Source organism: Homo sapiens, chromosome 4 (assembly GCF_000001405.40).
Source record: "Homo sapiens chromosome 4, GRCh38.p14 Primary Assembly".
Classification (NCBI taxonomy): Eukaryota; Metazoa; Chordata; class Mammalia; order Primates; family Hominidae; genus Homo; species Homo sapiens.
In genome coordinates this window covers 3,956,397-3,979,415 of record NC_000004.12, presented here as the reverse complement: position 1 = coordinate 3,979,415, position 23,019 = coordinate 3,956,397, and the positions used below count along the sequence as shown (strand labels likewise).

General features: G+C 46.2%; 1 long non-coding RNA gene and 1 pseudogene across 1 annotated transcript, besides 3 other annotated features; one reads left to right on the top strand and one right to left on the bottom strand.

The window, feature by feature from the left end:
• Positions 6,036 to 6,863: an enhancer, noted in NCBI's record as "OCT4-NANOG-H3K27ac-H3K4me1 hESC enhancer chr4:3974280-3975107 (GRCh37/hg19 assembly coordinates)". NCBI's record gives its function as "activates a minimal SCP1, AML or CMV promoter by ChIP-STARR-seq in primed H9 embryonic stem cells {active_cell/tissue: H9 hESC(primed)}" and the evidence as "EXISTENCE:reporter gene assay evidence [ECO:0000049][PMID:30033119]".
• Positions 11,756 to 12,383, top strand: ENPP7P9 (ectonucleotide pyrophosphatase/phosphodiesterase 7 pseudogene 9; annotated as a pseudogene).
• Positions 13,675 to 23,019, bottom strand: LOC105374358 (uncharacterized). Its single transcript, XR_925069.3, has 3 exons — positions 21,831 to 23,019; positions 19,262 to 19,323; positions 13,675 to 15,627 (listed from the first exon to the last, which is right to left on the bottom strand). It is a non-coding gene; the product is annotated as an uncharacterized LOC105374358 (long non-coding RNA).
• Positions 13,837 to 14,400: an enhancer, noted in NCBI's record as "H3K27ac-H3K4me1 hESC enhancer chr4:3966743-3967306 (GRCh37/hg19 assembly coordinates)". NCBI's record gives its function as "activates a minimal SCP1, AML or CMV promoter by ChIP-STARR-seq in primed H9 embryonic stem cells {active_cell/tissue: H9 hESC(primed)}" and the evidence as "EXISTENCE:reporter gene assay evidence [ECO:0000049][PMID:30033119]".
• Positions 20,980 to 21,274: a silencer, noted in NCBI's record as "tiled region #9760; K562 Repressive non-DNase unmatched - State 23:Low". NCBI's record gives its function as "represses a minimal TATA promoter and a strong SV40 promoter by Sharpr-MPRA in K562 cells {active_cell/tissue: K562}" and the evidence as "EXISTENCE:reporter gene assay evidence [ECO:0000049][PMID:27701403]".

Below are 23,019 nucleotides of genomic sequence, written 5' to 3'. Positions count from 1 at the left end.
CCAGAATTATGGAAGCTCACTGTGGCCACGTACCACATTAGAATTTGGTCTGGAAATCAAGTTATGGGAACAAGAAATCATAAGCCATATTATACTATTAACCTAAATTCCAATCTGACAATTCCTTTGCAAAGTTGTGTAAAAGCCCCTTATATGCTAGTTGTAGGAAACATAGCTATTAAACCAGATTCCCAAACTATAATCTGTGAAAATTGTAGATTGTTTACTTGTATTGATTCAACTTTTGATTGACAGCATGGTATTCTGTTAGTAAGGGCAAGAGAAGGCGTGTGGATCCCTGTGTCCATGGATCGACCGTGGGAGGCTTCTCCATCCGTACATATCTTAACAGAATTAGTAAAAGGAGTTCTAACTAGATCTAAAAGATTCATTTTTACTCTGATTGCAGTGATTATGGGTCTTATTGCAGTCACAGCTACTGCTGCGGCTGCTGGAATTGCTTTACACTCCTCTGTTCAAACTGCAGAATATGTGAATAATGGGCAAAAGAATTCCTCAAAATTGTGGAATTCTCAGACTCAAATAGATCAAAAATTGGCAAATCAAATTAATGATCTTAGACAAACTGTTATTTGGATGAGAGATAGGCTCATGAGCTTGGAATATCTTTTTCAGTTACAGTGTGACTGGAATACGTTAGATTTTTGTATTAGACCTCGAGCCTATAATGAATCTGAACATCACTGGGACATGGGTAGACGCCATCTACAAGGAAGAGAAGATAATCTTACCTTAGATATTTCTAAACTGAAAGAACAAATTTTTGAAACATCAAAAGCCCAGTTAAATCTGGTGCCAGAAACTGAGGCAATGGTAAAAGCTGTTGATAGCCTCACAAATCTTAACCCTATCACTTGGGTTAAAACCATTGGAAATTCCACTATTGCAAATTTTGTACTAATTCTTGTATGTCTGTCCTCTCTATTGTTAGTCTACAGAGGTATATCCAGCAGCTCCGGAGAGACAGCGACTAGCGAGAATTGGCCATGATGACGATGGAGGTTTTGTCAAAAAGAAAAGGGGGAAATGCAGGGAAAAGAAAGAGAGATCAGACTGTCACAGTGTCTATGTAGAAAGGGAAGACATAAGAGTCTCCATTTTGAAAAAGACCTGTACTTTAAACAATTGCTTTGCTTAGATGTTGCTAATTTGTAGCCTTGCCCCAGCCACTTTGCTCCAGCCACTTTGCCCCAGCCACTTTGACCCAACTTGAAGCTCACAAAAAAATGTGTTGTATAAAATCAAGGGTTAAGGGATCTAGGGCTGTGCAGGACATGCCTTGTTAACAAAATGTTTACAAGCAGTATACTTGGTAAAAGTCATCGCCATTCTCTAGTCTCAACAAACCAAGGGCACAATGTACTGTGGAAAGCCACAGGGACCTCTGCCCTTGAGAGCAGGGTATTGTCCAAGGTTTCTCCCCATGTGATAGTCTGAAATATGGCCTCATGGGATGAGAAAGACCTGACTGTTCCCCAGCCCGATACCCGTAAAGGGTCTGTGCTGAGGTGGATTAGTAAAAGAGGAAAGCCTCTTGCAGTTGAGATGGAGGAAGGCCACTGTCTCCTGCTTGCCCCTGGGAACTGAATGTCTCGCTGTAAAGCCCAATTGTACATTTGTTCAACTCTGAGATAGGAGAAAAGCTGCCCTGTGGTGGGAGGCGAGACATGTTTGCAGTAATGCTGCCTTGTTATTCTTTACTCCACTGAGATGTTTGGGTGGAGAGAAGCATAAATCTGGCCTACATGCACATTCAGGCATAGTACCTTCCCTTGAACTTAATTATGATATAGATTCTTTTGCTCACATATTTCTTGTTGATCTTCTCCTTATTATCACCCTGCTCTCCTACTACATTTCTTTTTGCTGAAATAATGAAAATCATAATCAATAAAAACTGAGGGAACTCAGAGGCCGGTGCCAGTGCACGTCCTTGGTGTGCTGAGTGCCTGTCCCCTGGACCCACTGTTGTTTCTCTATACTTTGACTCTGTGTCTTATTTCTTTTCTCTGTCTCTCATCCCACCCGACTAGAAATACCCACAGGGGTGGAGGGGCAGGCCACCCCTTCAATTTGGTGACACGTAGCCTGTGCCCTCAAAGAACACTGACACCCCAGTAACATCCATTCGAAGAGTTTCTCCGTACCTCCCCTCCTTTATCCCCAAGGTCACTGGGTCAGAGCTCACAGAGTCATTCACAACATGATGTTTAACACCGAGACGCTCTGGAATTACTCCTTCAAGACGACTCAGAAGAAGACCCAGTGCTGAGACAATCGTGTTCTCTCTCTCTCTCTGGATCACCGCCCAGAGACAAGGACTGCCAGAGACCCTGGCTTCCACAGCTGCTGCCTCTCATTCCTGCACCTGTGGGACGAGAGTTCGAAGCTGTGTGACCTTGACCAAGTTACTTACCTTCTCTAAGCATATGTTTCCCTAAATGTGAAATAGGGATGATGGTGATGTGTTTATTTCACAGATTTGATAGAAGGATTAAATGAGAGATGCATCAAAAACAGTAGGCACAGGGTCAATGCTCAGTGAGCTTTCTGTTTTCTTATCAATAGACAGGTCTCCATGAGGACAGAGACTGGCTTCATCTCGACTGTAGCGTCAGGGTTGGCCACAGTGTCTGCACTCAGCAGGACTTCAGTAAATATCTGTTTATACACTAACCACAGACTTAGGCATAAAAGCCCTTTGGAAAAAAGTTGACCATTTCATGCACCTTCAGACTATGAAGAGCAATGATGACAACTTTAGCTCGAGAGGCTCTCAGTGCCCATTCATCACCGCTGTGAAAAGGCAGAAACCAGAGCTGTATGTTTAACTCCCAGGCCCAAAACCTGTTGGCCTTGCTTTATCACTATGAGCTTCCAATGCCATCCCTTTAGAATGGGACCTCTCTCTTCTTCCCCAAGGCACCAGCCTTCACCTCAGACCTCTCCTTATTAGCTGGTTCCTCCTGTCTGTACTCTGAGCCCACGCTGTGCTCGTCAGATAGCAACATGGGAGAATACAGCAGCCCAGAATGCAGGCTGCAGAGTTAGATCCCCAGAACAGGATCTCAGCCGGCTCCATCCTTCCTCAGCTGGGCGACCGTGGCCATTGACTTCCTCTCTGTGCCTCAGTTGCTCCATCTGTGAAATGAAGATTGTCATAGTCCCTGCTTCAAAGAGTCACTGGGAGGATTAACTGAGAAAATGCAGGGAAGGTGGTTGGAAATAAATGCTCAAAAAAAGTCCATCTGGCCAGGCATGGTGTCTCACGCCTGTAATCCCAGCACTTTGGGAGACTGAGGCAGGTGGATCAGTTGAGGTCAGGATTTCAAGACCAGCCTTGTCAACATGGCAAAACCCCGACTCTACTAAAAACACAAAAATTAGCCAGGCATGGTGGCAGGCACCTCTAATTCCAGCTACTTGGGAGGCTGAGGCATGAGAATCGCTTGAACCTGGGAGGCAGAGGTTGCAGTGAGCCGAGATGGTGCCACTGCACTCCAGCCTGGGCAACAAGAGTGAAACTCTGTCTCAAAAAAAAAAAAAAAAAAAAGTCCATCATTCTTATTAATGGAGGCCAAATCATCTCAGCCCTTCTTTGGCTGATCAGTACCCTCCAAGCCAGTGTTATCCAATAGACCAGAGGTCCCCATCCCCCAGACCACAGACCAGTAGCGGTCTGTGGCCTGTTAGGAACTGGGCTGCACAGAAGGAGGTGAGCAGTGGGCTAGTGAGTGAAGCTTCATCTGTATTTACAGCAGCTCCTCATGGCTAGCGTTACCACCTGAGCTCTGTCTCCTGTCAGATCAGCAGTGGCATTAGATTCTGATAGGAGCACCAATCCTATTGTAAACTGCATGTGGAAGGGATCTAGGTTGTGTGCTCCTTATGAGAATCTAATGCCTGATGATCTGTCACTGTTTCCCACCACCCAGAGATGGAATTATCCAGTTGCAGGAAAACAAGTGCAGGGCTCCCACTGATTCTACATTGTGGTGAGTTGTATAATGATTTCATTATATATTATAATGTTAATAACAATAGAAATAAAGTACACAATAAATGTAATACACTTGAATCATCCTGAAACTTCCCCCCACAAATACATGGAAACTGGTCCTTGGTGCTAAAAAAAATTGGGGACCACTGCACTAGACTATTCAGTCATGGTCCAATCAAACATTCTGCAATGGTGGACTTGCTCTACTCTGCACTGTCCAACATGGGAGCTGCTAGCCACCCACATGGGCTGCTGAGCCCTTGAAATGTGGCTAGTGAGAATGAAGAGCTGAAATTTCGATTTTCTTTTAACTAATTTTTTTTTTTTTTTTTTTGAGACAGAGTCTCACTCTGTCCTGCAGGCTGGAGTGTAGTGGTGCAATCTCATCTCACTGCAACCTCCATCTCCCGGGTTCAAGCAATTCTCCTGCCTCAGCCTCCTGAGTAGCCAGGATTACAGGAATGCGCCATCATGCCCGGCTAATTTTTGTATTTTTGTAGAGATGAGATTTCACCATGTTGGCCAGGCTGATCTTGAACGCCTGACCTCAGGTGATCTGCCCAACTTGGCCTCCCAAAATGCTGGGATTACAGGTGTTAGCCACCATGCCCGGCCTTAATTCATTTCTAAATCACAAAATCTAAACAACAAGTGGCTAGGAGCTACCATAGTGTAAAAGGCAGCTGTAGAATCACAGGAAATTGTCAATGACCCTGTCCTGCTTCAAGTTTACTTTTCCCCCTCATGGTGAGACTCTAGATTCTTTCCTCTTCTCTCACATTTTTTAGGCTTTTAGGATTAGACCATGAAAATAAGTTCTGTCCTTCCAAAAAAATAACGTTCATAACAATTACTGTATACCAGGATGATTTCAGTGCTTTACAAGTATTAATTTACAACAACTCTGAGGCAGGAGCTGTGATTATGCCCATTTAACATATGACAAAACTGAGGCACAAAACAGTGCTAGAACTTCTCAAAGTCACACAGGTAGCAGGAGGCAGAGCTCGGATTTGAACTCACTTTGGGTTCAGCAACTCACAGCTCTCATCTATGACATAATATTACTTCTGTGGTCAAAACGCTTAGATCTGGATTTCAAAGGAATCTTGTACTTGCCTGGCTGCTAGGGAGGTTTTCATCATCTTCCTTATCTCACAGTTCAAAACCCAGGGCCTCCATGCTCTTGCTATGGTGGCCGTTCACTGGCAGGAGGCTTCTGGGAAGGTTCTCCTTTTCTGTCATTTTTCTTATTCGTGGTTTTTTGTCTCATTGGTGTTTATCTGCAGAACTTTGTTTCCTTCTGCTCAATTCATAATCAGAGTGCTTTTCCTCCTGGCTGAGTTGCTTGTGTTTGTGCAAAAAGTGTTGGCGCATAAGTGTTGTGCATAAGTGTTTGTGCAAAAAGAGGTTGGCGCAGAGCTAGGCGACTGACGACACCCGGCTCATCTGGCAAGTGGATATCAAATTGTTGTATCTCGTTCTGCCATTCACAGCTCCTGCTGTGGGGCTGGGTCATCTGCCAGCTCTCCAAGGAGCTGGCAGGAAACCGCTGCAATCAGAGCGAACCCAGGGCCCGGGTGAGCCCGCGTCGTCACAGCACTCCAGCTGGCCCCAGTGCCTTTTGGGGACACATCGGCTTTGCCAGGCAGGGCTGTGGGAGGGCCGCCTACATCCTGTCCATCACAGGGAAAACCTACCCTTGTCCCGCGTCCCTTCCAGGCAGCCTGTGTGGAGATTGCTGCATTCACCTTTAATATGGCTAAAATGTTTTCCTTCAATGACAGTAATGCTGCCAGAACCCATCAAGACACCCAGGAACTGATGTGCCTTGGCAGATGATGCTGGAAAGATGGGATTCCCGGCAGCCTTTGCATCCCTTGCTCACAGCCCACGAGCATCTCCACTGTCCAGCAGGTCAGGGCACGGTCTCTCTCTCTCTCTCTCTCTCTCTCTCCCTCCCTCTCTCTCTCTCACGGTCTCTCTCTCTCACGATCTCTCTCCCTCATGGTCAGGGCAGAAAGAGAGAGAGTCCATCTGGAGCAGACTCGGATTTTAAATGACTGTGCCCGATAATTTAATATGATCAATGGCTGAGGTATTTCACCAAGTTCAGGAGTCCCAGTTCTCAGAGAAAGGCAGCCAGCCATGACTGTAAGACCTGGTCAAACCGTACAAACCAGACAGCAGGTCTCACCCCTCCCCAGAGAGCTCCAGAGAATATCAAAGAGTGAAACAGCAGAGGGATGGTCTGGGTGGGGTCATCGTGGCTGGCAAGGGTCTGTGACAGCACCTTGTTAGGCTACTCCCAAGAGGAAATTTGGAGAGAGGGTGGGAGGGCAGCTCTCAGTGCAAGCTAAGTCTCCTGGAAAGTAACTTCCAAACTTTGGAGGATTGTGAGCAAGATGGGACCAACTTCTACCTAAAAGCAACTTCTACCTAAAAGAATGTTAATAGCAAGATAACTCATCCTAATGTTGGTCCAAGCTAGGTCTTTATTATGCATCCTAAAGGCTCTGAGAATAACAATGTAACCTCCAAAAGGGCTGCGGGCTTTGAGGAATCTCAGGCAACTTGCTTCCTTCTGCTCAGTGACTCCCATGGAGCACAGGAAAGCAAGGAAACACTTAGAGCCAAGCTTGAGTTCTGAATTTCAAATACAGGGAGTCCATCTCTTTCTACCCAATTGTTCCCTAGATGAGTAACTAACTCCTTCCCCTTAACTGCACGTACTTCCTACCAAAGCACAAGAGGGTGGGCTGTCCATGAGCCTCCCCAAAATATGTGCACCTTGTGACATAAATTCTGTCACCCAAAGAGACCAGTCAAAATGCAAAACCAAAGTGGAGCCTTTCCTTGAATTATAGGTTCTAAAGAGTTTTGGACCCTCTACAAAACCCAAGAGTTAGGAATTGCCTGTAAGAAGCACCAGCCCTTGTTTTAAAGAGGGAATTTAAGAATAATAGCCATGCTGATGCCACACTACGCTAAGGGAGAATAATGAACCTAATAAAACTAGCGATTTTCCAATTGCTTTTGCTGCTGGAAACACTGATTATGCTAATTAAAGGGTAGAATAGTAAATACGCACTCTTTTGCATCCAATTAAGTGTTCAGATTATTTCTCAGAAGTATTTGTTAAAAATAGCACTTCTGATAATCATGGGTCCCAAATAAACAGAGTCAAGTGTGGTGTGGTACATGTGTGAGTGTGTGTGTGTGCACATGTGTCTTTCTGGAGCTCATTTTATGGAGATCCTACATAGCTCCCCAAATTCCTGTGAGAACAAATAAGAAAAATCAGTTTTCTAAGACTACAACTTGGGATATCTTTGGAAAAGGTGTGTATTGAGAACACAGCATATGGAAACTATTTCACGTTGGCAATATCTGTGATTTAACATTGCAAACATTAGAAATGCAACTGGTTCTTCAGAGTCACCTAAGTCCCTCATAATGACAATATTAGCTTCTTCTAAATAATAAATTAGCCAGTCAAACTATGTTCTACAGCATGTTAGAAGTTTCATCCTTCTAGTCAATGTCACATTTCAAGGCAAAGTCGATTTATATGTAAGTTAAACGAAGTGATGTCACTAAAAATTGAGAATTAGGTCTAATGCCAATCAGAAATGGAATAAATAAGTATTAGAGGATTTGCAAGTGAAAGCAACCATAGAAATTCTATCATCAGGAAGGAAAATGTATTACCTGCAGAGGTAACAGATAAGACGCTAGAACCCAGAAGAGAAAGAATCTCTGTAAATATTTCCATTAAGTTAATCAAGAGTGGCTGGGTATGGTGGCTCATGCCTGTAATCCCAGGACTTTGGGAGGCCAAAGAGGGCGGATCACGAGGTCAGGAGTTCGAGACCAGCCTGGCCAACATGGTGAAACACTGTCTCTATTAAAAATCCAAAAAATTAGCCGGGCGTGGTGGTATACACCTGTAATCCCAGCTACCCAGGAGGCTGAGGCAGGAGAATTGGTTTAATCCAGAAGGCAGAGGTTGCAGCTAGCTGAGATCACACCATTGCACTCCAGCCTGGGTGACAGATCATGGCTCCATTTTGAAAAAAAAAAAAGAAAGAAAGAAAGTTAATCAGGGTGAGAATAGGATGAGTTTTTCACCCACAAAAGGAGATGAGATTCATGCATTCTTTCAACATACATTCCATCAATAGTGAGCACCTGCTCTGAGCTAGGCCCGTTCTAGGTCTCAGGAAATGAGTAACCAACCAGACATGGCCCCTGATTTGGAGCTCACATTTTAGAGCAGCTAAATGGACAGTAAACAAGTAAGCAAATTAAGATCATCTTAAATTGGGGGAAGTTCTTTAGAGAAGCACTTCCATAAAGCTGAATCTCATCATAGACTATGACTGCCAGGTGGTAGGGAAGGTAATATCTCACCTGCTTATGGATAGCAGAGCTTCTGAGGCCTTGCAAATTATTTAGTACTAAGATTTCTGTCTTAGGTCAAGTTCCCTAAAAGCAGAGCCTGAGGCAGGGATTGAGTGCATGTAATTCATTCAGGAAGAACTCTCAGGAGATAGGAGTAAGGAAAACAGGATATGGCAGGGAAGGAGCTAAGTGAAATGTGGTCTCAGCTGGAGACTGGCTCCAGTCTGATCTCACAGGGAGCTCCAGAGGATCAACTGCACCACCATGTTATCCCAGACTGAGGTCTTTTGTTCTCCTGTGTCAGCCGGTCCCTGGCCAAGGGCTGCAGACTCTCTTGGGGCCCCAGCAGGCTGGAGGAGAAGGAGCATGGTCTGTGGTCTACTCTTTTGTGCACACACACCCACCTCTTTTCCAGCTGACACTGCTGGAGGAGGAGAGGGAGAGATGTCATCTCCTCCTATGGCAACCTGTGGGATAGCAATGGCCCTTTTCCTGCTGGGTGTAATCTGCTGCCATCTCTTGCTGTCTGCAGCCTGACAGAGAAGGGTGAAGGTCACCAGGTTCCACTGACAGGGGTCTTTGTCTCTAGCAGCAACCCTAGGACCGAGGGTCCCTTGCAAGATTCAGCCACATTTCATGACTGTCTGCAACACACCCCATGCCTCTGATGGAAGGAACACAATGCCCCATGCTGCACTCATTTCTGCCAGACTACAGTCCCTGATCTCAATTTCCCTCTGCAGTCCCCAACTCTGGGGTCTGCAGACACATTTCAGATCCCTCCTTTGTACCCCCCAGGAGGCAGAAGCCAGAGGAAATAATCCTTGTCCCAATGCACCTGACCATGCCATCTCACTGCATGCTCTTTCTCCCTCTCCAGGAAAAATCAAGCTTGTTGAATACTTACCAATATGCCCACATGCATTTAGTCCCCATAACCACTTCTTGGGGCAGCATTGCCGTCCCCAAGTTACAGACGAGGAAACTGAGGAGAGCATTTATATAACATGCATCTAAGTGGTGGACAAAGGATCTAACCAGGCAGTGCGGCACCAGAGCACACATTTTTGTTGTTCAGAGAGATGGAGTCTCTCTCTGTCCCTCAAATTGGAGTACAGTGGCCTGATCATAGCTCACTGCAGCCTTGAACTCCCAAGCTCCAGAAATCTTCCCGCCTCAGCCTCCCGAGTAGCTGGGACTGGACGCATTCACCACCAACCCAGCTAATTTTTAAAAAACATTTTTCTAGAGATAGGGTCTGATCCCAAACTCCTGACTTCAAGCGATCCTCCTGCCTCAGCCTCCCAAAGTGCTGGGATTACAGTTGTGAGCCCCCGCGCCCAGCCCAGAGCACACTTTTTTTAATTTTTTTTGAGATGGAGTCTCACTCTGTCACCCAGGCTGAAGTGCAGTGGTAAAATCTCGGCCCAGAGCACACTTTTAACCACCATATCATTCTGCCTCTGGGTAGGTTAGTCAAGCTCTGTAGCTGATCAGATGTCTGTAGAGAGAAAGAGACATCAATCTCCCCTTCTTCCAAACACCCCCAAATTTTACAAGTGATTTTCTCAGATCCCTCAGCATCAGGAATGGGGATGAGCAGGGCAGCCTGTCCCCTTCCCAACAGCCCAGCAGATATCCCAAGATTACATCTCATTGGCTCTGACTAGGACATGAGCCCAAAGCTGAAGCAGTTGCTGTAGCCATGGCATGCAGCACCCTCGGTCCTCTGGCCAGGCCAGAGCTACATCCCACCTCTGGATCCTCGGGTTGAGTCAATAATCTTGAACCAGGCGCGGACTGAAGCTCAAGGAGGAGTCAGAGTAATGTGACCCAGCCGACCAGGAAGTGGGTGCTGAGCAGGCAAGCACTCATCACCCACTGCACACACCAGGGAAGGCTTGTGATGGCTTAGTCCCACCTGGGGGCAAAGAAAAGAGTGCCTGCTCCATGCCAAAATGTGATGCCCAACACCGTATCTTAAAGCCAGCTGGCTTTGTAATCCCAGCTACTTGGGAGGCTGAGGCAGGAGAACCACTTGAATCCAGGAGGCGGAGGTTGCAGTGAGCCAAGATCACGCCATTGCACTCCAGCCTGGGTGACAAGAGAGAAATTCTGTCTCCAAAAAAAAATAAATAAATAAAAAATAAAATTAAAAAGCTAGCCTGCTTAATCCTCACAAAGATGCCATCTACTTTTTGGCATTCTACAGGTAGAAACACTGAGACACTGAGACACTGGGAGATTTTAAAACTCACCACCAGCCGGGCATGGTGTCTCATGCCTGTAATCCTAGCACTTTGAGAGGCTGAGGCAGGAGAATTACTTGAACCCAGGACTTCAGGACCAGCCTGGGCAAATTAGTGAGACCTCATCTCTACAAATATTAAAAAAAAAAAAAATTAGGGCAAGGCGCCGTGGCTCACACGTGTAATCCCAGCACTTTGGGAGGCCAAGGCAAGTGGATCACTTCAGCCCAGGGATTCGAAACCAGCCTGGCCAACACGACAAAACTCTATCTCAACTAAAAATACAAAACTTAGCTGGGCATAGTGGCACATGTCTATAATCCCAGCTACTTGGGAGGCTGAGGCACAAGAATTGCTTGAACCCAGGAGTCAGAGGTTGCAGTGAGCTGAGATTGTGCCACTGCACTCCAACCTAAGTGACAGAGTGAGACCCTGTCTCAAAAAAAAAAAAATAGGTGTGGTGGGACATGCCTGTGGCCCCAGCTTCTCAAGAGGCTGAGGTAGCAGGATCACTTAAGCCCAGAAGTTCAAGGGTGCAATGAGCTATGATTGTACCCCTGCACCACTATGTATACATATATATGTATATATGTATGTGTATATATACACATATATACATGTATATGTATATATGTATGTATATATATGCATATATATATACATGTACATGTGTATATGTGTGTGTATATATATGTGTGTGTATATATATAAAAAACACACATGCACAAATTCACCACCAACAACTCAGAAATTACTGTCTCCTTCTATTCGAAGGAACTATTTTTCATTTTGCCATCTCTGAAGTTGGAATACACCTTACAATCACTGGAATGTCACGGTCTCGTTGGCAGCATTTTTCTGCTTAGTAGCCCATAAAATAATAGCACATCTTGTAACTAACAGTGTTGTAGATGCTATGAGATCCTGGGGAAGCCCAGAATCTAACTCCACCCTGTCTGACTTCAAAGACCACATATTTTCTATGCCTTTGGACTGGGGCACAGATGTAGACATCTTGAGCTTTGCTGATTGTGAGAAAGGTATAAGAAATGGCCCTGATGGAATTTTCTTCTCGTACTTGCAGGGGAACAAAGCGGCATCATTCCACTATTCCAAGGGAGGTGCTAAATTCGAGGGTGAGGCTGTCAAGCGGTCCCTTGTGGAGTCCTACACTCACCCAAACAGCAACGAGACAGAGCGGAGGGAGAACGTCGATACCGTCATGAACTGGTTCACCAAGGAAGACTTTGGCTTTGTGACTCTGTGCTACAGAGAGCCAGATAACGTGGGACATCGATTCGGGCCAGAAGCAGAGAACAGGAAGTTGATGATTCAGCAAATCGGCAGGACCATCGGGTATCTAGTGGGAGCCACAGAGAAGCACAGCCTGCAGAGCACCTCAGCATCATCATCACATGAGACCATGGGGTGACCACCGTGAAGAAGAGACCCAACGTCAACAAGATCCCTTGTCCAACTACATCAAGTTCAGGGACTTGGTCAAGTTTGATATTGTGGGCTACGTTGGCTTTGGGAAGCCCCTGCCCAAATGGGGGCAAGAGGAAGCCCTTTACCAGGCACTGAAGAATGCGTACCCTCACCTCCACGTCTACAAGAAGGAGGAGTTTCCAGAACACTTCCATCTCACTAAACATGACCGGGTTCTGCCAATCGTGATGTATGCCAACTCTGGTTACACTATCAATGGGGTAAGTTCATTCTAAAATGAATAAAGTCACCTTGGATCTAGGAGACAACCATTAGGGAAGGGTGGTTCTGCAAAAATCAAACATAAGTGCACAGCCAGGCACGGTGGTTCACGAATATAATCCCAGCACTTTGGGAGGCTGAGGCAGGTGTATCACCTGAGGTCAGGAGTTTGAGACCAGCCTGGCCAACATGGTGAAACCCCATCTCTACTAAAAATACAAAAATTAGCTGGGCGTGGTAGTGCACATCTGTAGTTCCAGCTACTCTGGAGGCTGAGGCAGGAGAATCGCTTGAACCTGGGAGGCAGAGGTTGCAGTGAACCAAGATCATGCTACTGCACTCCAGTCTGGGCAACAGAGTGAGACCCTGTCTCAAAAAAATATAATGTAATATAATATAATATAATATAATATAATATAATATAATATAATATAATATAATAAAACAAAATAAAATAAAATAAGCGCACACACTACGAGTTGTAGCCCACAGGGTCCTAAATGTTTCCCACCCTCTGCCCAACCAATGCTGCCCCAAATTACTGTTATACAAGATTAATGACCAATTCAACTTGATAAGGCTGATTTAAAAATAAAAATAAGGCTGGCCATGGTGGTTCACACCTGTAATCTCAGTGCTTTGGGAGGCCAAGACAGGAGGACTGCTTAAGGCCAGGAGTTCAAGACCAGCCCGGGCAACATAGGGAGACCCCATCTCTACAAAAAACAAACAAATAAATAAATAGCCAGACATGGCGATGCATGCCTGTAGTCCCAGCTACTCAGGAGGCTGAGGTGGCAGGATTTCTTGAGCCCAGGAGGTCAAGTCCGCACTAAGCTGTGGTTGCACTACTGCACTCCAGCTTGAGCAACAGAGCAAGACCCCGTCTCTAAAAAATAAATAAACAAATAATAAAAAATAAACACCAACTTCATTATTCAAAATTGTGCACAGCGCTTCACTAAACATTGAATAACAGTTCTTTCATTTTTGTCTTCCCAACAACCCTATAAAATAGATGCTCTTAGTTCCACCACTTTAAAGAAGAAATCAAAACCTAGAGAGAAGTGACTTGAGATTAAAAATGTAAGCTTGGGCTGGGTGCAGCGGCTCACACCTGTAATCCCAGCACTTTAGAAGGCTAAGGTAGGTAGATTGCTTGAGCCCAGGAGTTTGAGACCAGCCTAGGCAACACAGTGAAACACCATCTCTACAAAAAATGCAAAACTATAGCTGGGCATAGTGGCACGTGCCTGTGGTCCCAGCAACTCAGGAGGCTGAGGTGGGAGAACTGCTTGAGCCCGGGGGTGTTGAGTCTGCAGTGAGCCATGATCACGCCACTGTGAGATAGGAGGCAGGACTTGACTCCACAGGCAGGGCTTGGACACCAGACCAAATTGAGGACTAGCTAAAACAGGGCTGGGGCAGAAGCAGCTTTCCATCAGACATGCCCACCAGTGTGCCATGTGAGTTTACTATTGTCAAGGTAACACCCGGGAGTTACTGCCCCTTTCCATGGAAATGACCCAATGACTCAAAAGTTACTACCCATTTTCTAGAAATTCCTGCATAAACTGCCCTTTAATCTGCATGCAATTAAAAGTGAGTATAAATGTGATTGCAAACTCTCTGCCGCTACTCTCTGCCTCCAGGGTAACCCTGCCCTACAGGAGCAGTCACAGGGCTCTAATCCTGCCTCTTCAATAAAGCTGTTTTCTTCTAAACCTCCGGCTTGCCCTTGAATTCTTTCCTGGGTAAAGACAAGAACCCTCACGTGCTATTGAGAGGTGACAGCATGCTGGCAGCCTTCGAACTCACTCTCGGCGCCTCCTCTGCCTGGGCTCCCACTTCGGCGGCACTTGTGGAGCCCTTCAGCCTGCCGCTGCACTGTGGGAGCCCCTTCCTGGGCTGGCCGAGGCTGGAGCCCGCACCCTCAGCTTGCGGGGAGGTGTAGAGGGAGACGTGCTGGCAGGAACCGGGGCTGGGGGTGGTGCTTGCAGGCCAGCGTGAGTTCCGGGTGGGCATGGGCTCACTGGGCCCTGCACTCAGACTGGCCTGCCACCCCACTGGACCCAGGCAGTGAGGGGCTTAGCACCTGGGCCAGCAGCTGCTTTGCTCAATTTCTCGCAGGGCCTTAGCTGCTTCCCTGCAGGGCAGGGCTCGGGACATGCAGCCTGCCATGCCTGAGCCTCCCCCCAACCCTCGTGGGCTCCTTCGTGGCCTGAGCCTCCCCGATGAGTGCCAAGCCTCCCCAATGGACACTGCCCCCTGCTCCAGGGCGCCCAGTCCCATCGACCACCCAAGGGCTGAGGAGTGCCAGCACAGGGCGCAGGACTGGAAGGCAGCTCCACCTGCGGCCCCCGTGAGGGATCCACTTGGTGAAGCCAGCTGGGCTCCTGAGTCTGGTGGGGACTTTGAGAATCTTTATGTCTAGCTAAGGGATTGTAAATACACCAATCCACACTCTGTATCTAGCTCAAGGTTTGTAAACACACCAATCAGCACCCTGTGTCTAGCTCAGGGTTTGTGAATGCACTAATTGACACTCTGTGTCTAGCTAATCTAGTAGGGACTTGGAGAACTTTTGTGTCTAGCTCAGGGATTGTAAACGCACCAATCAGCACCCTGTCAAAACAGACCAATCAGCTCTCTGTAAAACAGACCAATCGGCTCTCTGTAAAATGGACCAATCAGCAGGATGTGGGTGGGGCCAGATAAGGGAATAAAAGCAGGCTGCCCCAGCCAGCAGTGGCAACCCTCTGGGGTCCCTTTCCACACTGTGGAAGCTTTGTTCTTTTGCTCTTTGCAATAAATCTTTCTGCTGCTCACTCTTGGGGTCCACGTTGCCTTTATGAGCTGTAACACTCACTTCGAAGGTCTGCAGCTTCACTCCTGAAGCCAGCGAGACTATGAACCCACCGGGAGGAACAAACAACTCCAGACACGCCACCTTAAGAGCTGTAACACTCACCATGAAGGTCTGCAGTTTCACTCCTGAAGCCAGCGAGACCACAAACCCACCAGAAGGAAGAAACTCTGAACACATCCGAGCATCAGAAGGAACAAACTCCAGACAAGCCGCCTTTAAGAACTGTGACACTCACCCCGAGGGTCTGTGGCTTCATTCTTGAAGTCAGTGAGACCAAGAACCCACCAGTTCTGGACACACTATGCTCCACTTCGGGGCTCCCCTGCCCTGCGTCAACTGCACTGTGGCCTGAGTGGCAGAGAGAGAGACCCTATCTTAAAAAAAAGAAAGAAATGCAGGGTTAAGTGCTGCCCCCAAGCCTGAGTGGCTGATCATTATACAGAGTACACGAAGACCACCAAAAAAGTCACCACAGAGGCCCCCTGCCGCTGGTTCTCATTTGCCCATATCAAAAAATATGCAAGCCTGTTCCTACAAAGACACACACAGATGCTCGTAGCAAAATTATCCATAATTGTCAAAAGGTGGCAACAACACAAATGCCTATTAACAACAGATGAATAAGCAAACAAGTACAGTCCACCCGTGTGATGGAACATTAATCAGCCACAATATGGAATGAAGGGCTGATTCATGCTACAACCTGGATACACCTTGAAACCATTAGGCTAAGTGAGAGAAGCCAGACAAATATTAGATGATTCTATATATACATATATATGCCCAGAATATGAAAATCCAAAGAAACAGAAAGTAGATTAATGGTTGCCAGGAGCCAGGGGTGGGGATAGTTGGAGGGAAATAAGGGGTGACTGCTAATGGATACAGGGTTTCTTCTGGGGTAAAATTTCTAAAATTGATGGTGATGATGGCTGCAGAACTCTGTGAACATATTAAAAACCACTGAATTATACACTTTATTTATTTATTTAGAGACAGGGTCTGGCTCTGTTGCCCAGGCTGGAGTGCAGTGATACAATCTCAACTCACTGCACCATCCACCTCCCAGGCTCAAACCATCCTCCCACTTCAGCCTCCTGAGTAGCTGGGACTACAGACACACACCACCATGCCCAACTAATTTTTTTGTATTTTTGGTCGAGACAGGGTTTTGCCATGTTGCTTGGGTTCATCTCAAACTCTTGGGTTCAAGCGATCCTCCCACCTCAGCCTCCCAAAATGCTGGGATTACAAGTGTGAGCCACCATGCCCGTCCAAATGATACACTTTAAATGGGTAAATTGTATGGTATATGAATTATCTTTCAATAAAGCTGTTATTAAAAAGCAGCTTTAAGGGCCAGACATAACGGCCATGCCTGTAATCCCAGCATTTTGAGAGGCCAAGGCAGGAGGATCACTTGAGCCCAGGAGTTCAAGACCAGCCTAGACAACATGGCAAAACCTGGTCTCTACAAAAAATTTAAAACTTAGGCTTGGAGTGGTGGCTCACGCCTGTAATCCCAGCACTTTGGGAGGCTGAGGTAGGTGGATTACTTGAGGTCAGGAGTTCAAGACCAGACTGGCCAACATGGTGAAACCCTGTCGCTACTAAAAATATTTTTTAAAAATTAGCCAGGCATGGTTGTGGGTGCCGAGGCTGAGGCAGAAGAATCGCTTGAACCCGAGAGGTGGAGGTTGCAGTAAGCCGAGATTACACCACTGCACTCCAACCTGCTAGGCGACAGAGCGAAACTCCATTTCAAAAAAAAAAAAAATTAAGAATTAAAAATTAGCCAGCGGTGGTGGCTCATGTTTGTAGTCCCAGCTACTCAGGAGGCTAAAGTGGGAGGATTGCTTGAGCCCAGGAGGTTGAAGCTGCAGCGAGCCAAGATTGTGTCACTGCACTCTGGCCTCAGCAACAGAACAAGACCCTGTTTCACAATTTTAAAAACTATTAAAAAGCGAGCCTAAAGAAAACACAAAAACCAATGCTAACTATGAGACAAATGAGGTTGTCTATTTTTTGTTAACTACCAACTAACAATTCATGGCAGAAACAAAGTTTAAATGATGCTATAGCCGGGCGCTGTGGCTCACACCAGAAATCCCAACACTTTGGGAGGCTGAAGCGGGTGGATCACCTGAAGTCAGGAGTTTGAGACCAGCCCGGTCAACATGGTGAAACCCCGTCTCTACTAAAAATACAAAAATTAGCCAGGTGTGGTGGCGGGTGCCTATAATCCCAGCTTCTCGGGAGGCTGAGACAGGAGAATCGCTTGAACCCCGGGGGGGCGGAGGTTGCAGTGAGCCAAGATCGCACCATTGCACTCCAGCCTGGGCGACAGAGCAAAACTCCGTCTCAAAAAATAAATAAATAATTAAATAAATGATGCTATAAACCTCATGTGAGGGAAGACTGTCCCAGGTACAGCTTGAAGAACCCTTGCTGTGAATAGGAGCCAAATGCGATAATTTTGTTTGCAACTTGCTTCATGTCAGCTTGTTGCAACTCCAGAGTGTAACAGGTATGAGAAAACTCATGCGGTTACTGTTTAATGTTGGTGGAAATATTCACATTAAAATACAACAGTTTATCACCTAAGGTATATTTTATCCCTCAAGTGGCCCGGAACACTGATTACTGCACACCAATCGCACGCCCATAGCTAAAGCCTTGCCAAGGAGAAATTCCACAGTCACCTGGCCTATTTGTAAACGTGGTTTATGACGTTTTGTAACAGGATATCTTGACAGTAGCATGAGGACATTTAACGAGACAAGAACATTCCCCACTGACCAACCAGATGGTTTCAGGGAGCAGGATGCTGTGCTCAGTTTAATCTTCTGCTGAACTGACCATAAGGCAGAAAATCCTTTCGGTCAATGCCTCTCACTGAATCCACTTCTCAGATCCCTGTACACCTGCTTGCTTTGCAGTGCAGAGTAAAGTGGGCCTTCCTTGACTCTCTTCAGGGACCAATGTGCTTGAGGCCATCATGAGGACATTCTTTTTTTTTTTTTTTTTTTTTTTTTTTTGAGAGAGTCTCGCTCTGTCGCCCAGGCTGGAATGCAATGGTGTGATCTCAGCTCCCCACTGCAACCTCTGCCTCCCAAGTTCAAGTGATTCTCCTGCCTCAGCCTCCTGAGTAGCTGGGATTACAGGCACGTATCACCAGGCCCAGCTAATTTTTCTATTTTTTGTAGAAACAGGGTTTCACCATGTTGGCCATGCTGGTGTCAAACTCCTGACTTCAAGTGATCCACCTGCCTAGGACTCCCAAAGTACTGGTATTACAGGTGTGAGGCAACGTGCCTGGCAGAGGGCTTTTATTCTTGATGGACTGCTCCATAGCCTCGGAGACAGTCGGACTTATTTCTTCAACCAGAGCAGAGCAGACAGGCAATTTCTGTATCCACCAGGCCAAATATTAGACCAACTCTTCAATGTACAGAGAGCATAACATTTCTTATATGCTAGAATATCTGTTGGTCCAAAATATAAATAAATAGTATTGTAGCCAGCCACAGTGGCTCACACCTATAATTCCAGAGCTTTGTGTGACTGAGACAGGAGGTTCGCTTGAGGTCAAGGGTTCGAGACCAGCCTGGACAACATAGAGAGACACCCCCACACCGCCACCTGCCATCTCTACAAAAATTAAAATAATTAGCTGGGCATAGTAGTGTGGGCCTGTAGTCCCAACTACTTGGGAAACTGATATGGGTGGATTGCTTGAGCCCAGGAATTTGAGGCTGCAGTGGGCTATGACTGCATCACTGTACTCCAGCTAGACCTTGTCTCAAAAAAAAAAAAAAGTGCTGCAATTGACATTATCATTTGAAAAGAGGGACAGACAAGAAAGGTATTTGGCATTTACCAAGCAATTACCCAGAATCCTCATCCCATCCTACCCCCACCCTTCCCCTAAAAATGTATGTGTATGTTTTTATACCATAAAAAATACATCTATTTGCCTCTGGAACCAGATTGCTTGGGTTCAATTACCTGATCTAGCATTTGCTCCTGATGATTCAGTGCAGAAAAGCTCTGTAATTCAGTTTCCCCAGCTGTAAAATGGGGAATGGCGCCTTTACTGGGCTGCCATGAGGGTAAAGGAGGGAACGTATATTTATGACGCATTCAGAACAATTCATGATACATAGTAAGCTCTATATATTTGAGCTTATTATTACTGTCAGTACGATTATCATCATCTTGCTGTTTCCAATGGGTACGATTTCTACATTCTCTTTCTTAAAGACCTTTAAATCCTTGGTATTCTCTCCACCACCACAGAGAGCAGTGTCCTTGTAGTTTAAATTTTCAAAGACTTCATGGATCCAATAAGCACGACATTAACTAAGGGACAGTTTTCTTTCAGTGGATTGGAATTTAAAATGGCTTTTTTATTGTTATTATTGGCCAGGCTGGTCTCGAACTCCTGACTTCAAGTGATCCCCCCACCTCACCCTCCCAAAATGTGCTGAGATTACTGGCATGAGCCACCATGCCCAGCCCTCATTCTCTTCTTTTATAAGGACACCAGTCATTGCATCTGCCCCCTCACCAGCAGCCCCCAATCCAGGATGACTCATCATTACTTGATTACATCTAGAAAGACCCTATTTCCAAATAAGGTCACATTCCTGGGTACTGAGGATTAAGATTTCCAATTTTTTCCCTGACTCGATTTTTTTTTTGAGTCAGGGCCTCACCCTGTCACCCAGGCTGGAGTACAGTTATGTGATTATAGCTTACTGCAGCCTCAAACTCCTGGGCTCAAGGGATCCCCTGACCTCAGCCTTCCAAGTGGCTGAGACTACAGGTGCACATCATCATGCCCACGTAATTTTTTTGTTTTTTTGTGTGTGTTTTTTTTTTGTACAGGTTAGGTCTCACTCTGTTGACCAGGCTGGTCTGACCTCAAGCGATCCTCTTGCCTTGGCCTCCCAAAGCACTGGGATTACAGGCGTTATCCCATGCCTGGCCCTCTTTCTACACCTCAATAATTGTATCATTAGCCTGAGCTGCGCATATTCCTTATTCTACCCATCCCTGACCAACCTCCTCCTTTAACATAACTTCCATCTCGATATGATGGGGCCTGCTGGGCACTGCAAACAGCCTAAGGAAAGTGGAAACTTTACTTAACCTTCAATTCTATTACAAAGTCTACATTGAACGTAATTCATATTTGAACTATAAAAATTTTTTGTAAGTTGACACATGACCTATAAAGGTCTCTACACCCTGAAGCAACGTTTTAGTAAGAAATCAATTGGTCCTTTTCTGCAGAAACCATTAACCATAGAAGAGATAAAGGAAAAACTTCAATGTACTGATTGAACTTCCATGCCCATAGCTTAACTTCTAAAAGGCAACCATTCCATACTGTTAAACTGACTTAGGTTGCTATTACTGTTATTAAAGAGACCTCAAAGCCAGAAGTTGAATCTTGACTGTAGCTCTTGCACGTACACGCACACTCTTGCAACTGAAACCACTCAGATTGTCCTAATGCTGCGCCCCATAACAACACCACCTGGAATTTTACGTTTGTTTTTAAGCATCAGTCGTAATCTTCACTTGCACCCGAACACACTGCACCTGTGAGAGCCACGTGACATTAAAAAAATCCCTTCAGTGAGGCCGGGCATGGTGGCTCACGCCTGTAATCCCAGCCCTTTGGGAGGCCAAGGCAGGTGGATCATGATGTCAAGAGATTGAGACCATCCTGGCCAACATGGTAACACCCTGTCTCTACTAAAAATACAAAAATTAGCTGGGCGTGGTGACGCGTGCCTGTAGTCCCAGCTACTCGAGAGGCTGAGGCAGAAGAATCGCTTGAGTCCGGGAGGCAGAGGTTGCCGTGAGCTGAGATCGTGCCGCTGCACTCCAGCCTGGCAACAGAGGGAGACTCTCTGAAACAAAAAAATCCCTTCAGTGCCTTGATCCTTCCAGATTCAGATCCAAGAGAGATGACATTTGTCCCTCACCAGAGACTGCACACCAAGATAAAGATTTCTTCTGGCCAGGCGCGGTGGATCACGCCTGTAATCCCAGCACTTTGGGAGGCAGAGGAGGGTGGATCACCTGAGATCAGGCATTTGAGACCAGCCTGGCCAACGTGTTCAAACCCTGTCTCTACTAAAAATACAAAAATGGCCCAGCATAGTGGCTCACGCCTGTAATCCCAGCTACTCAGGAGGCTGAGGCAGGAGAATCGCTTGAACCTGGGAGGTGTAGGTTGCAGTGAGCCGAGATCGCGCCATTGCACTCCAGCCTGGGCAACAAGAGAGCAAAGCTCCGTCTCCAAAAAAAAAAAAGAAAAAAAGATTTCTTCTGTGTGCATGGCTCAGCTCTGTGGTCCACTAGCGTCCTTCTTCAATCCGCTTCCAATCTACGGAATCAGGAAAGACTGAACAAACCTAGATTAATATTTTAGTATAACATAATACAGTGTTACTTACTATGGAATTGACCGTATATGCCCTTTTGCTCCTTGGAGGAAAGACAATTAATAGCTATTATGTGAGTTAATAAAATAAGCCCAGGATTTATGAGTATAACTAACCTGTTCCCATTGGTTTTCCTTGTCTCCTGCAGGCAGAGAGCTGATCAAAACAGCAAAAGCAAAGCAGTGCCCCTGGCCCAGTTCTGAAGCCAACCTTCCTTAATCACCCAGACCCATCCCTGGTTAGGACTTGCTGTGGATTCTCAGGTGACTCCATCTCAGGATACAGGGACTGAGAGGGTGTATGCAACATCTCAGACCCAGAAACCGTTGATTCTGCCTAAAAACACAGCAATAACCACATCCCACCCTCTTGATTTAAATGAAAGGGTTTGGGGGAATAAAAGATGAACCTCTTTTTTTCTTTGTCAGATCTTGCGTTCATTTGGTTCTGGTGTGGAACAACAGCTATAAGAGAACAAGTGTATTCAATTAGAATTAATTCCCCTCTCTTATTCTCATAGCTGAGCAGGGCTCAAGTGCCTCTCATCTGAAAGAGGTAATAAGATTTTATCTGTCTCCTCATCTACCTTTTGCAAGTATACTTAACAAATTCGCTCTCGGGACTCTTCCAAATGGAGTTTTATGAGGGATTTGCTAAGGTAAACGTTTTAGACTTTGAACACAGTTCAGATTTCAGGGGCAGTACTGAAATCTGAACTGTGTTGCTAACTGCCCTGCCTTTCAACTCAAGACACAATAACTTTGAACTAAAATAATTATATTTTTGTTGTTTTCCACTCTGTCCCCACGTCTCTATCACCACCACCCCCAAGCCCACCCCGCAGGAACTAAGTCCTCCTTCCTATCCCTGCAAGATCAAAACTCCTCCTGCAAGCCCCGCTAGCTCTGTCTGCTCGCCTTCGTGGCAGATATCGCTATTGTACTTTTATACTCATTTGTGTGATAAGTACTTCAATGTCTACTTCTTCCACGAGCCCCTGAGCCCCTGGAGGGCCTGGACCACACCTAGTTTTTCTCACTGTTACATCTCCCTTGCCAGACACATGGTAGGCGCTTAATAAGTATTTGGTGAACGAATGGCTTGTTTGGTGACAGTCCAAAGGCTGGGGGACAGAGGGAAATCTCCCTCCTATCGGGCCCCAGACGGGTGGCGCTGATGGAGAGGAGGCTAGGATAACGCCTCCAGGACCGAAGCGCGCACCCGTAAGGCCCCTGCCAAAAAGACCTTCCTGAAGGCGGAGGAACTGCGAGAGTGCCTACGTTGGCCCAAGGCCTGACCCGATGA